Genomic DNA, 13717 nt, shown 5'->3' with positions numbered 1-13717 from the left:
AATTGATTGGCAACATTTGTTGAAATAAAAATAAAATGCACATACGCTTTTGCTTCACAAATCTATTCCTAGTAATCTGCATTATGGAACTATTTCCCTACATAAACATATCCGTATAAGGATGTTCACTGCAGTATTGTTTGAAATCCTAAAAAAATGCAAAACCTACCTAACCATCCGTCAACAAGAAAATGGCTAAATAAGACATTTTCAACTGTGGAGTAGTATTCAAACTTCAAAAGGAATGAGATAGATATTGGCTGGGTACAGTGGCTCACACCTGTAATCCCAGCACTTTGGGAGGATGAGGTGGGCAGATCACTTGAGGTCTGGAGTTCGAGACCAGCCTTGCCAACATGGCAAAACTCCATCTTTACTAACAATACAAAAATTAGCCAGGCGTGGTGGCAGGCACCTATAATCTCAGCTACTCAGAAGGATGAGCCAGGAGGATCGCTTGAGCCGGGGAGGTGGAGACTGCAGTGAGCCGAAATCACGCCACTGCATTCCAGTCTAGGTGACAGAGTGAGACCCCGTAAAAAGAAAAGAAATGAGGTATGTGGTAGATATAGAGGTAATCATATGGAAAAACCCCATTTGTTTAAATTATGTGTGTGTGTGTGTGTGTGTGTGTGTGTGTATTCAAAAAGTTTGAAAGAATATTTGCCGATTAATGGTGGATTTTCAGTGGTGACTTTATTGGTAGACAGGAGTAAGAGTTACCAAAAAAAAAAAATCAATTTTTTTTTTTTTTTTTGAGACGGAGTCTCGCTCTGTCGCCCAGGCTGGAGTGCAGTGGTGCGATCTCGGCTCACTGCAAGCTCCGCCTCCCGGGTTCACACCATTCTCCTGCCTCAGCCTCCCGAGTAGCTGGGACTACAGGTGCCCGCCACCACGCCTGGCTAATTTCTTTTTTTGTGTTTTTGGTAGAGACGGAGTTTCACCATGTTAGCCAGTATGGTCTCAATCTCCTGGCCTTGTGATCCGCCCGCCTCGGCCTCCCAAAGTGCTGGGATTACAGGCGTGAGCCACCGCGCCCAGCCAAAAAAATCAATTTTTACGACAGATATTTATATAGTGTGTTAATTTTCTGCAAAGGTATCATTTTGGAAACCACAATAATATGTAAAACTATATTTTTTTAAAACCTATCCACTCAAACAGTTAAAATACCTCCATTGATTCTGGAAGCTGGACATCAAAATGGTTTAGGATCCTTATTGTCAAAAGCCGAATCTGGAGAAAGTAAAAGGCATCTTTCAAATTCCAAAGTTTAACCATAAAAAGAAACTGATTCACAGTCAGCAAGATTTAAGTTTTATACAATTTAAAAAAAAAATACCATTTGACCAGAGTAATATGTGCCTATTCTAGCCCTTATTTCATATTCAACACCAACCAACACCTAGTTAAAATAGTACATGGAACAATCAGTAGTTTCTTTGAACTATGACACTATAACCATGTCTGTAAATAAGTACAAAGAAGTTGATTAAGTTGTCAATTCAATTAAAGTTAGTGATTTTTATTCCTAAGTAATGTACAATATTCAGGTATTTCCGCATACCTAAATGAGCAGGAGAACCACCTAGAAGACTTAAAAAAAAAAACTATGTTGATTTTTCAGTTCTACCCTAGCCCTACTGAATTGGAATCTTTGAGGGTAGGGACCCAGAATTTGTATTTTTATTTATCTCCCTAACTAATCCTACTGCAATTGGTTTGCAGGCCAACATTTAAGAATCATCGCTTTAAACAGAAATCATCCCACAGCAACACTTTCTAACTAAGATGCTCTGAAAACCACTGCAGTCCATATAGAAACAGGAGAAGAGAGACTGAGGACACACTACCACAAAACACCATTACCTTGGATACACCAGTTGAAATGTTTGCTTGTAACTTGGGAAATAATTCCATTAAAGCCTCCTGGGAAAGTGGCCCTTTGCAGCCACACAAGGCTAATCTCTGATAATAGAGATCAGTCAACAGCAACACAGATGGCTCCAGGGGAAAGGTTCTGCAACGAGATGTTCATTAGACCCAAACTGTACCATATAACCCAGAGTATCTAGACTATAGTATAAGCCACAGAAAATGATCACTGATGAAGAAAATGTAAAAGGTAACAGGCAAAAGTCTCACGTGGATATCTGGCTCACTTCATAGATGAAGAATCTGAGGCCCAGCAACAATGAGTGACATATGCAAGGACACACAGCTGGTTGCAGGCAGAGGTGGGAGCAGAATATGCTAGACTCCAATGTTGCCTCTTCAATCCACATAGTTGTAAATGACAGCCACTTATATATATATATATATAATATTTATTATTTAATTTATATTTTATTAAATAATATTAAATATTAAATTTAATATTTAATATAATATATACATATATAATATTTATTAAGTGTTTGTCATGTGCCAGGCACCGAGCTAATGAGGATAGTAGAGAGGAGTAGTCTGACACACGAGCTCTGGGGTAGGGCAGCCCAGGGTTGAATCTGGCACCATTACTCATAAGCAGTGTAACCTCAGGCAAGTTGCTTAACCTCTTGGTACCATCCTTATGCAACAAATATTCATTGAGTACCTACTATGTACTGTGACTTTTCTAGATACTGTAGATATAGCAGTTAACAAAAGACAAAGTTCCTTTTCCTGGAACTTATATTCTAGTAGGGGAAAGTAGCCAATAAATAAGTACTATGACAGTGATGAGCGTCATGGAGAAAGGCTCCATGAAACCAGGTTTGGAGAAACCAGGTTCTGGAGAAAACCCTGGTTTTCTCCAGAAAACCAGGGGAAAAAGGCTTGACAAAGAGATTGACATGCAGGGAGTTGTGGGGAGACGGTGTGGAGGTGAAGAGAAGCACCATTTGATACAGGGGTGCTCCTAAAAAACGGAGACCAAAGGAAGTGAAAAAGTCAGCTAAAAGGGTATCTGAAAGAAAAGCATTCTAGGCAGAGGGAACTGCAATGCCAGTCTGAGGTGTGCTTGTCTGCAGGAACATCGAGGAGGCCATCTCAGCTGGAACTAACAAAGAGTGCCTGAAGATGTCAGAACTAGCCAGGAGTTAGCTCATACGGAGCCCCGAGGAACATGATGAGGATGCTGGATTTTATAGAGTGAGATGGGATACCTCTCGAGCAAGGTTTCTCTACAGTAGCACTACTGACATTTTGGGCCAGAGAACTCTTTGTGGTGGAGGGCAGTGCTGCCCACTGCAGGGGGCTCAGCAGCATCCCTGGCCTCCACCCACTAGATGCCAGTAACAGTGCTCTTTCCCCATGCTGTGACAGCTGGAAAGTCTCCAGGTTTGCTCCCAGTTGAGAAGCACTGTATTAGAGGGTGATGAGCAAAGGAGTGGCATGATCTGTCCTATACTTAGAAGCAGCAGGGCAAGAGCGGAAGAAAGGAGTTCAGACCAGGGCTTTCTTTTGAAACTTTAGTTCCTCCATCTATACTGATAACAGTACCCACACATCATGGAATTGTTGTGACACAATCAATGCAATTGTTTATTACTATTATTGCATGCATTGTATAACTTAATCTCTACAAGGTGAGATTTCTATTCCTTCCTTTTTTTCTTCACTACCCCTTTTTGAGAGATAATCAAGTTGAGGTTAACTAAGTCACCCAAGGCTACAGCTAGTAAGTGGTGGATTCAAGAGTCAAAACCAGGCAGTCTTGGCTGTGAAACCTAGGTGCTCATCAGTCTACTAGCATAGCAAAGAGAACAGAATCCTGCATCTACTCTGCAAGTTTATGCCCCTGCCCTCAAAACCAGAGCCACTCCTGTTGGACAACTCTGTGTCTCCAAGGCTTAGAGCCACCTGGCTGGGAGGCAAGCTGGCCTTCCCCAAGGGGAACATGGACCCCATTCTGTGCTATGTGTGTCTTTTGTTTCAATTTCTACAGCCACCTTCAATTGTTTATACCAAGGGTGAAAGTATGAGAAGTTTAAACAGAATGATTTTAAAAGGGAGACTATGTAATATGGTAAATGTGGTGATGTCAAAGAACTAATCCTCTCTACAGGAAGTTAATTTAAACCAATGCAATTAACCATGGAGAAATGCCAACTTCACCCAGATTTGGAAAGGCAAAGAGATTCCAGATTATTATAGTATTCCCCTACAGTCTCAACACAGCAGCCGGAGTGATTCTGTTTAGGTCAAAGTCATTCCACTGCCAAAAATCCTCCCATGGCCTCCCCTTTCATTCAGAGTAAAAGCCAAGGCCCTACGGTGACCTAAGGAGGTCTACTGCCTCCACCTCTCTGTCCTCTTCTCCTACAGCCCACTCTCGTGCTCTGCTCAGCCAAGATGACCTCTCCTTGCTGTTCAAGCCAGGCACCCACCACCCCCACAGAGCGTTGGCATTCATGTCGCCTCCAGGTCTGGAACCCAGGGAGCAGCCCAGACCGCAGGTATCCTCATGGCTTACGTCCCTCACTGCTTTCCGCCTTCTGCTTAAGTGTCTCCTCCTCAGTAAGTTCACCTTGATTTAAAACTGCTACCGCTCCCCTCACCTCTGGACTCTCCCTATCTCCTGACCCTGCTTTGTTTTTCTTCACAGCACTTAGCACCTCCTAACACGCTATATAGTTTACTTTTTATTCTGTTTAGTGCCTCTTCTGGCTAGAGCATTAGCTACAAGAAGGCAGGGAATTTTGTCTGTTTTATTCACTATGTTTCACAGTGCCTGGAACAGGGCTTGGCATGTGAGAAAAGCAAATGATTACCTACTGAACAAAGTGAATGAATAAATCTTTAAAACACTTGGAAATAAAATGGAGTAGACTTCAGGAAAAAGCAGCAAGGCTTGACCTTTAGAAAAGATATATTGTTGGCTCCTCTCAAATGGCTCTGTGCTGCTATCAAAATCAAAGGCTGGCTAAACTATACTTAAAAAGCAAACAAAGAAACCAAACCAACAAAAAAAAAGAAACTGGATTGTTTCAGTGTGTAGTAAAAAGACCACAGGGAAGTTTTCTGAAATGCTGATCACCTCAAGTTGAGGCCGAACAAGAGTGGGAATGTGCATGTTGGAACCACTAAAGAAGTTATAAAAGGTCAACATCATGCCACGTTACAGTTGGGAATGATCAGCATTACAAACCCTTCAAACTTTACGACATTAATCTACACACGCAATAAAACACCCTTTACAAAGATGAATCTGTATTTAAAGACTGTGTCAAATGTACTTATTTTAACTGGAGGATCTAAATCAATATTAAATTTCACTACGTGAATACAACTCAGGTATAAAATAGATCAAAGGGATTTTCTTTGTGTCCAAGATTTCACAACAATAGAGGCTTTTATATTTTATTCATTACTAAACCAACTGGAAGATGTTTACTTACAATACTAAATTCTTCACACGTTCCACAGGAACCAAATGAAGAAGTTCAGAAGATTCTTCCAAACTTAGTAGAGTATTTACAGCTTGACAAAGAACAAATAAGTTTCCTAAGGGCAGAAAAACAGGAGAAACCACATTACTTATTTCTTTGACATTATTAACTATCAAACACCTTATTTATTGAATACTTGCTACTTATGGGAAGTTCTTAAAGTGAATTTATGCCTTCCAAAGAATTGTCTGTCAAACATCCAAATATAACAGAAAGAAACAGAAAAGAGAAGTTTCCAAGTCCTATATTTTACCTTTCTTAAGAAAAATACAGGCTGGTCATGGTGGCTCATACCTGTAATCCCAGCACTTTGGGGGTGCTGAGGTGGGAGGACCACTTGAGGCCAGGAGTTCAACACTAGCCTGGGCCACACAGTGAGACTTCATCTCTATAAAAGATTAAAAATTAGCTGGGCATGGTGGTTCACACCTGTAGTCCCAACTACTCAGGAGGCTGAGATGGGAGGATTGCTTCAGCCTGGGATGTCAAGGCTGCATGCAGTAAGCCATGATCGTGCCACTGCCCTCCAGCCTGGGTGACAGAGCAAGACAGTCTCAAAATAAATAAATAAATAAATAAATACTCAGAAGTAGAGAATAAAAATGTGTATGTTCCATTAACCAAAATGAGTACCAAGTATAATGGTCCCACTCACTGATGTTATCAAAACTAGTACTTTTGAGGAGTGCAGGCTTGGATTTATCAATAGCTAAGAAATTATCTTGGTATAAAACTTGTTGATTTTATTTTTCAAGTTTATAAGAAGTCACATATTCAATGGCTACTACCCATAATACATTCAATTAATGATATTATTTATTTATTTATTTATTTTGAGACAGAATCTTGCTCCATCGCTCAGGCTGGAGTGCAGTGGTGTGATCTCGGCTCACTGCAACCTCCACTTCCCAGGTTCAAGTGATTCTCCTGCCTCAGCCTCCCCAGTAGCTGGGATTACAGGCATGTGCTATCATACCCAGCTAATTTTTGTATTTTTAGTAGAGATGGGGTTTCCCCGTGTTGGCCAGGCTGGTCTCAAACTCCTGACCTCAGGTGATCCACTCACTTCGGCCTCGCAAAGTGCTGGGATTACCGGCATGAGCCACCACACCCAGCCTTATTTTTTTAAATAGAGAGTCAGAGTTGGGCGGGGGGGGCTCTCACTATGTGTCCCAAGCTGGTCTTGAACTCCTGGCCTCAAGTGATCCTCCCGCCTCAGCCTCCCAAAGTGCTGGGATTACAGGCCTAAGCCATGATATCCAACATAATTAATGATATTAATTAAACACTCATTTAGTCTCTGGCCCAGAGGTCAGCAAACTATGTCTCTAGCCCAGAGGTCAGCAAACTATATGGTCTGCAAGTCAGATCTGGTAAGCAGCCTGTTTCTATATGGACTGCAAGCTAAAAATGTTTTTTACATTTTGAAGGGGTTGTTTAAAAAAATATATATATGTATGTGTGTATATATACATATATATGCCACAAAGACTGAATGTGGCCCATAAGACCTAAAACATTTACTGTCTGGTCCTTTACAAAAAGATTTTACCAGTCCCTGCTCTAGGCTCTAGATCAGTGCTGTATAACAGAATTTTCTACAATGGTAAAAATACTTGTCCTAATATGTCGCCACAATCCAGTACAGTAGCCACCAGTCACATATGGCTACAGAGCACTTGACATGCGGCGAGTCCACTTTATTCTCTAATACGTCTGCTTAGTATCTAACACAGAATGTAGCACATTAATATTTAAGTGAATGAATGACCACTATATACACGTGATTTTTAAAAAATTTTGCATTAGAATAAAACAAAATATTAAATAACTGCTTTTGAATTGCCGTTTGCAGACTAGTGGGGGAGACATATAAATATCTAATAGGAAATGGTGTTTTGGGCAGGGCAGTCTAATTCTGCCTAAAGAGTCATAAAGGCCTTCCTAGAGGTGTTGTGCCTGAGCTGAGTTTTGGAAGATAAGCAAGAGTTCACTGAATGACAAAGACCTAGAAGGGTCTCCATGCAGAGGAAACACATGGGCAAAGGCAGCCATACAGTTGTAAAAGTTGCAAAAGAATGTGTCTTTCTCATGGTAAGCAAATGGATTTGCTTGGAGCATAAGGTGTATACTAGGAGTCAGATGTACGTGGGAGATGAAAAAGAGGACCTGGTATGGGGCTCAAAAACAAATGGCCTTCTAAGCCATGGCATCCTTTTGATATGTCCCCTTCCTTATGCTCAAGCCACCGTGACCCAGTCACCACATTATGTGGTACAAGTGAGACATGCCCATCATATCCTCATTTCTTCCAGATTTATCATCCAGGGGGTTATGCCAGAACACAATGTAAGTATTATTCTCTAATAGCTCATGTGTTTACAATTACTTTGAGTGTGCCAGAAAAGAAGAGAAGAGAACACATGATGATTGTAACTGACCTTTCCCAAAGCTTCCTTTGTCAACAGTCATGAAGAGTGCCTCTATGAAGCCGGTGACGAGTGGTATCACCTTCTCTTTCTCAAGAGGTCTGTCCAAGGGGGAGAAAAAGGGAAAAGTTCAAACTGGCATTCAATGGTTTGTTTCAGAGAACAGCAAGGAATGGCTAACATATTTTAATCAGCATGTTATCTCTTTCAAAATTAAACATAGCTTATTTTCTTACCTAATATGAGGTAACACCACGAGGGCTGCCCAAGATTGTGAAAGGTAAGTAGTATCTTTATTTGGGGGTAACTTAATTATAGATAAAAGATGGTCCAATACTGGAAACTGTTCGTTTCTTCCCTTGGATCTAGTCTTCTTCTGCTTTATATAGAATCTGAAGGATTAAAAAAAATGTTTAAAATAACAGAGAATGTAATCGCTCTTGCCCTCTGAAGTCTGAAATAAAATTGGATTCTTACCATTGTGGAGCATTAGAGGGAAGGAATTGGTGGTGGTGGTTGAGCTAAACAAATGTGAGTCATTTACTGAGTTTTCAGTGAGAAGCTTTTTCAACTCCACTGGCTCTACTTCCTTTCACTTCTATTTTAATTTGCTTTATAACTTAAACCAAGTTTCTTCTAGTTTTAAGTATGATTTCTCAATTTTGTGCTCCTGGGCATGTTTTTGATTGACAATTCACTGGAATGAACTGACTTCCTCCATTCTCCCTTTCCTTTTTGACATGAATTTTACTACTTTCCACAAATGTAGAATGATGTTGCAAAGTTACTGTGATGAAGTTGACGAATACCACTAAAATGATTATGACATATAAGTAATTTTCTCCTGCTGCTTTGATCAGATACACAGTTGCTCAATGACATTTTTCGACATGACATTCTGTTTTGAATATCTGTGACTCTGGTCACAGATTAGATAGAGGCTAACTATTCTTGTTAGCCTCTTTTTATTTTTGCCAATGTACTACACCTCGGTCCTATTTGAAAGACAAAAATCTAATCAAAAGAAAAATCACAGAAATCTTAAGTTAAATGATCTGTTTTACAATTATCCTCCAACTCCAGTTTGGTTAGCTTGTTATGCAATAGAAGTGGAATATCAGGTTTTTACTCTTGCACCCTTTTTATCATTAAAATTCACCAAAAAATGGTCAGGTAGGGGAAGGAAGGAAAAAAAAAAACAAAAACAAAGAAAAAAAATTCTCCAAAAAGCTACATTCTCTTTTGTTTCATACTTACCAGGATGTTTAGTGTCTGGAAATCATGATAGATAACTAAGTTAATTTAATTATCAATTCCTTAAAGTCACCACATCTTGATATATATAGTCTTTTTAGTAATAATCATGACTCAACAATCTGCAAAAATCTTACAAAATACTAAGATGCTTTAAAAAACAAAAATGAGTCATTAGTTGCCACGTCATTCCCGTTTTCTAGACCTGCCAATGGCTCCACCAATGAAGTCCATACTCCTTAAGTCATCCTGTAAGGCCCTCTGTGATTTGACCCTCACCCACCTCCATCTCCTCTCACCCCAATCTCCTCCTTGCTCTTTACCCACAGAGGTTTTCTTTCTGTACTTCAAACATGCTGAGCTTATTCCTGTCCCAGAGTCTTTGCAGTTAACTTTTCCTTCTGTCTGGAGAGTCTCTCACTGAGATCTTTGCAAGGCTGGATCCTTCCCAGCTTAAAATTGGACCAAACGTTCCCTCTCTGGAAAGTGACCCCTCTCCATTCAGTCTCCCTCTCAACACTGCTTTGTCTTCTTTTATCACGATCAGGATCTGAAATCATCTCGCTTATTTGCTTACCCGCCTCACCACATTCCTTTCCCCAAAAGAAGGAACTTTTTTCTTATTCTTTGTTGCACCCCAGTATCCAGTGCCTGATACCGTAAGTAGTTGTCAAACGACAGTAAGTTTATCTCCTAAAGAGTCTTTTCACATTTATTATCTTTATTTTTTCTCACAGCAAACTGGTGAGATGGGTAGATAGAGTGTTACTAGTAATATTCAAACTATGATTTTAAAATCTTCATAGAAGGAATCAAAACAAAGGTGACCATTCACACATACCATATCTCCGTTGGGGGTGGCAGAGGGGTGTTTTTGCAGAGAAAGAAACACAGAAGTGGAAGAACTTGCCATGAGTTAGCACATCGAAATTTATTTATTTAACACGTCACCCTCCTGGGAGGATCTGAGATGGCTGAGATGATGGGGTAAGAAGGTCTGACGCCCAGTCTCAGTCAGTCCCTTAGCTTCACCTCATGGAAGCCAAACAACAAAGCAGCTTCACTCTCCCTGCACAGAACTCAGTTTTGGCATGTGCAAGGAATCTGCCTGTTGGAGATGGGCTTGGGTGTTGACAAATCAAGGGAAAAGTTTCAAAGGAATAATTCTATTGGAGTTACTCACTACCCATTCCTCAGGAATCAGAATTCAATACATTTAAAAACCAACAAGATTCTGTTGGCATATTTTAATAGAGAAGCAATTTGTAAGGTATACAGAAGATATAAGTAGGTGTTAAGATGAGTTTGCTAAACACAGTGGCTCAACCTGTAACCCCAACACTTTGAGAGGCCAAGGTAGGAAGATCACTTGAGTCCAGGAGTTTGAGACCAGCCTGGGCAACATAGCGAGACCTCGTCTCTACAAAAATTAAAAAATTAGCTGGGCATGGTGGTGCGTGCCTATGGTTCCAGCTACCTGGGAGGCTCAAGTGAGAGGATAGCTTGGGCCCTGGAGATCGAGGCTGCAGTGAGCCGTGATTGTGCCACTGCACTCCGGCCTGGGTGACAGAGCAAGACCTGCTCTTAAAATAATAATAATAATAAATAAAACATTTAAAAAAGAAAATAGGTTCCTCCAGAACCTCAAGCTGATCAAACTCAAAAGCTAGCTCTGCTCTGTGACTGTGGGACAGTAACTCCCACCTCCATGGATGTTTCAAAGTCGAGTATTCAGCACAAACTCAAGGAATGCCCATCAATTCCGCCTCAAAGCAAACCAAAAACACAACAACGGGTCTAACTACTCCAAGAGAAATAAGAAGATTAAGTATAAAAACAAAGGAATGACAAGGGAACTGGTTTCCTAAGCTACAGTTTCTAGAAGCATACCCACTTAACTATTTGAGAAATGATACAATAAATCTTCTCATGTATGTAAATAAGCTTTGTTTTTAACTTCTAAACAATGTGTCATTTTGAATGAAATTAAGAAAGTAATCCATGACACTTAACAACTGAAACAATACAAAGGTATATAATTTTTATTTTTATTTTATTTTATTTTATTTTTTGAGATAGAGTCTTGCTCTGTCGCCCAGGCTGGAGTGCAGTGGCATGATTTCGGCTCACTGCAACCTCTACCTCCTGGGTTCACGCCATTCTCCTGCCTCAGCCTCCTCAGTACCTAGGACTACAGGCGCCCGCTACCACACCCACCTAATTTTTTGTATTTTTCTTTTTTTTTTTTTGAGATGAAGTCTCGCTCTGTCGTGCAGGCTGGAGGGCAGTGGCGTGATCTCGGCTCACTGCAAGCTCCACCTCCCGGGTTCACGCCATTCTCCTGCCTCAGCCTCCCGAGTAACTAGGACTACAGGCGTCCGCCACCACGCCTGGCTAATTTTTTGTATTTTTAATAGAGACAGGGTTTCACCGTGTTAGCCAGGATGGTCTCGATCTCCTGACCTCGTGATCTGCCCTCCTCGGCCTCCCAAAGTGCTGGGATTACAGGCGTGAGCCACCGCGCCTGGCCAGGAGTGTGGTTATTAAAAGGTAGCATGAGGAATCCTCGTGGTGAGGGAACAGTTCCAGATATTCACTCTGGTGGTGGTTACAAATCAACACAGGATAAAACTACATATGACTATATATCTATATAAGTATACACACTCAGATGAGTGCACATACAACTGATGATATCTGATAAGATTGATGGATTGCACCAATGTCAATTCTACAGTTGTGATATCGCAGTATGCTCATGCAAGATGTACCAATGGAGTAATCTGAGTGAAGAGTATACGAAACCTCTCTGTACTATTTCTTGCAACTGCACGTGAATCTACAATAACTTTAAAATAAATGGTTAAAAAATTAAGTCACCTCTGTCTTTCCCTTACCATCCTTCTGATTAAACAAAGTTAACAAGTTTCTGTATCCTTCCACATGTTTTTCTATGTTCATACACACTTTTTGCTTTACCTTGCAAAATGAGATCATACTATACGTACTATGTGTGTAGCTCTACAACTTGCTTTTTTCACACAACTTATCATGGACATCTTTCCTGTTACATATAGATCATTTTTTTACAGTATTCTTGATACATTACATTTAAATGGGTAAACTTATCATCATTACAGGAATAAAAAGTTAGAACTCACCCCACCATCTGCGGTGAGAAAACCAGAGGGTACTTTTCAATTGCCATCGAGCCAGCAGTGGGAGGTGCTGCTTTGTTCAGAATGAGCTTGGCCAGAATGGCCAGAGCTTCATCTTTGACTACAGCATCATCAATTAAGAAGCAATTCACAATATATGACAGAAAGCTTGGTAGAAAAAGCTAAAGTTAAGAAAAAAAAAATCACACTTATTAACAGATATAATAAAGAGAAGATGCTAACAATTCAAAAAACTAGACCAAAAACAAAGGATCAAGAATCACAATGGCATTAGACCTCTACATAGGAACAATGGAAACTAAAGACTGTGCAGCCATGTCTTAAAACTCTGAGGAAGGATGACTTAGAATCTAGAATTCTATACCCTGTCTACTAATAATGCAGTGTCAGGAGAGAATAAAGACATTTTCAGATGTATTAAATCTCAATATTTTATCTCCATGAACCCTCCCTACCCCCAGGAAATTATGAAAAATAAATTCCACCAAAATTAGAGACTAAACTATAAGAAGAAGAGAACACGGAACCCAGGAAACAAGAGAGAAGCAAAAGGAAGTCCCAGTACAACATTTGTGCACTGGGCAGAGAAAGCAATGCATTTAGACTGGACTTGCTCCAGGAGAAATGTCTCCAAGAAAGAAGAAAAAGAAAAATTGAGCTGCTAAATTATCTGACAGTTTTGTCATGTGAAGGACATTTATAAAGCTGCTGGAAGACAGACTCTTTGGCCAGCCATTCAAAGAAAACAATTTCCAGTTTTTAAAGAACGAGGCAATTATAAACTCTAAGAAAAATGAGGCCAGGTGTGGTGGCTCATGCCTGTAATCCCAACACTTTGGGAGGCCGAGGCAGGCAGATCATCTGAGGTCAGGAGTTAAGAGACCAGCCTGGCCAACATGGTAAAACCCCGTCTCTACTAAAAATACAAAAATTAGCCAGGCGTGGGGGCACATGACTGTAATCCCAGCTACTCAGGAGCCTGAAGCAGGAGAATCACTTGAACCCGGAGGGTGGAGGTTGCAGTAAGCAGAGATGGCACCACTACACTCCAGCCTGGGTGACAGAGTGAGACTATGTCTCGACAAAAAAAAAAAAAAAAGAAAAACGAGAATGTATACAAAAAGGTCATATAATCATAAAATACTCCTTGTTTATATAAGTATGTGGTGAATATGGATTCAACCAAAATTTCTAATATAATTCTATTGGGAGCATGAGAGGTATAAAGGAACTAAAGTCCATCTGCCATAGGAGGAAGTCTACACATGAGAACCAAAACTAGCAAACCAAGGTAAAGCAGTATATTCAGATGATTTAAAAGTATAAAGTAAATATAAGAAAAAAATAGCTGGCCGAGGCAGGCAGATCACAAGGTCAGGAGATCAAGACCATCCTGGCTAACATGGTGAAACCCCATCTCCAC

The 13717-nt window shown here is 40.4% G+C and overlaps 1 protein-coding gene across 1 annotated transcript in view, besides 1 other annotated feature; it reads right to left on the bottom strand.

The window, feature by feature from the left end:
- The window catches only part of UTP20 (UTP20 small subunit processome component), a 106514-nt gene that overhangs the window by 78684 nt on the left and 14113 nt on the right, over positions 1 to 13717 (bottom strand). Inside the window, exons 12-17 of the mRNA NM_014503.3 lie at positions 12277 to 12455; positions 8098 to 8253; positions 7874 to 7962; positions 5382 to 5487; positions 1870 to 2020; positions 1174 to 1236 (exon numbers count right to left, since the gene is read on the bottom strand). Of these exons, the coding sequence (NP_055318.2) occupies positions 1174 to 1236; positions 1870 to 2020; positions 5382 to 5487; positions 7874 to 7962; positions 8098 to 8253; positions 12277 to 12455 (744 nt within the window). The remainder of the gene's footprint in view (positions 1 to 1173; positions 1237 to 1869; positions 2021 to 5381; positions 5488 to 7873; positions 7963 to 8097; positions 8254 to 12276; positions 12456 to 13717) is intronic.
- Positions 7424 to 8623: an enhancer, noted in NCBI's record as "CDK7 strongly-dependent group 2 enhancer chr12:101693090-101694289 (GRCh37/hg19 assembly coordinates)". NCBI's record gives its function as "activates an origin of replication core promoter dependent on BRD2, BRD4, P300/CBP, MED14 and CDK7 cofactors, with strong dependence on CDK7, by STARR-seq in HCT116 cells {active_cell/tissue: HCT116}" and the evidence as "EXISTENCE:reporter gene assay evidence [ECO:0000049][PMID:35650434]".

Source organism: Homo sapiens, chromosome 12, assembly GCF_000001405.40.
Source record: "Homo sapiens chromosome 12, GRCh38.p14 Primary Assembly".
Taxonomy (NCBI): Eukaryota; Metazoa; Chordata; class Mammalia; order Primates; family Hominidae; genus Homo; species Homo sapiens.
The sequence above is the reverse complement of the archived record's forward strand: the minus strand, read 5'-3'. Positions and strand labels throughout refer to the sequence as shown.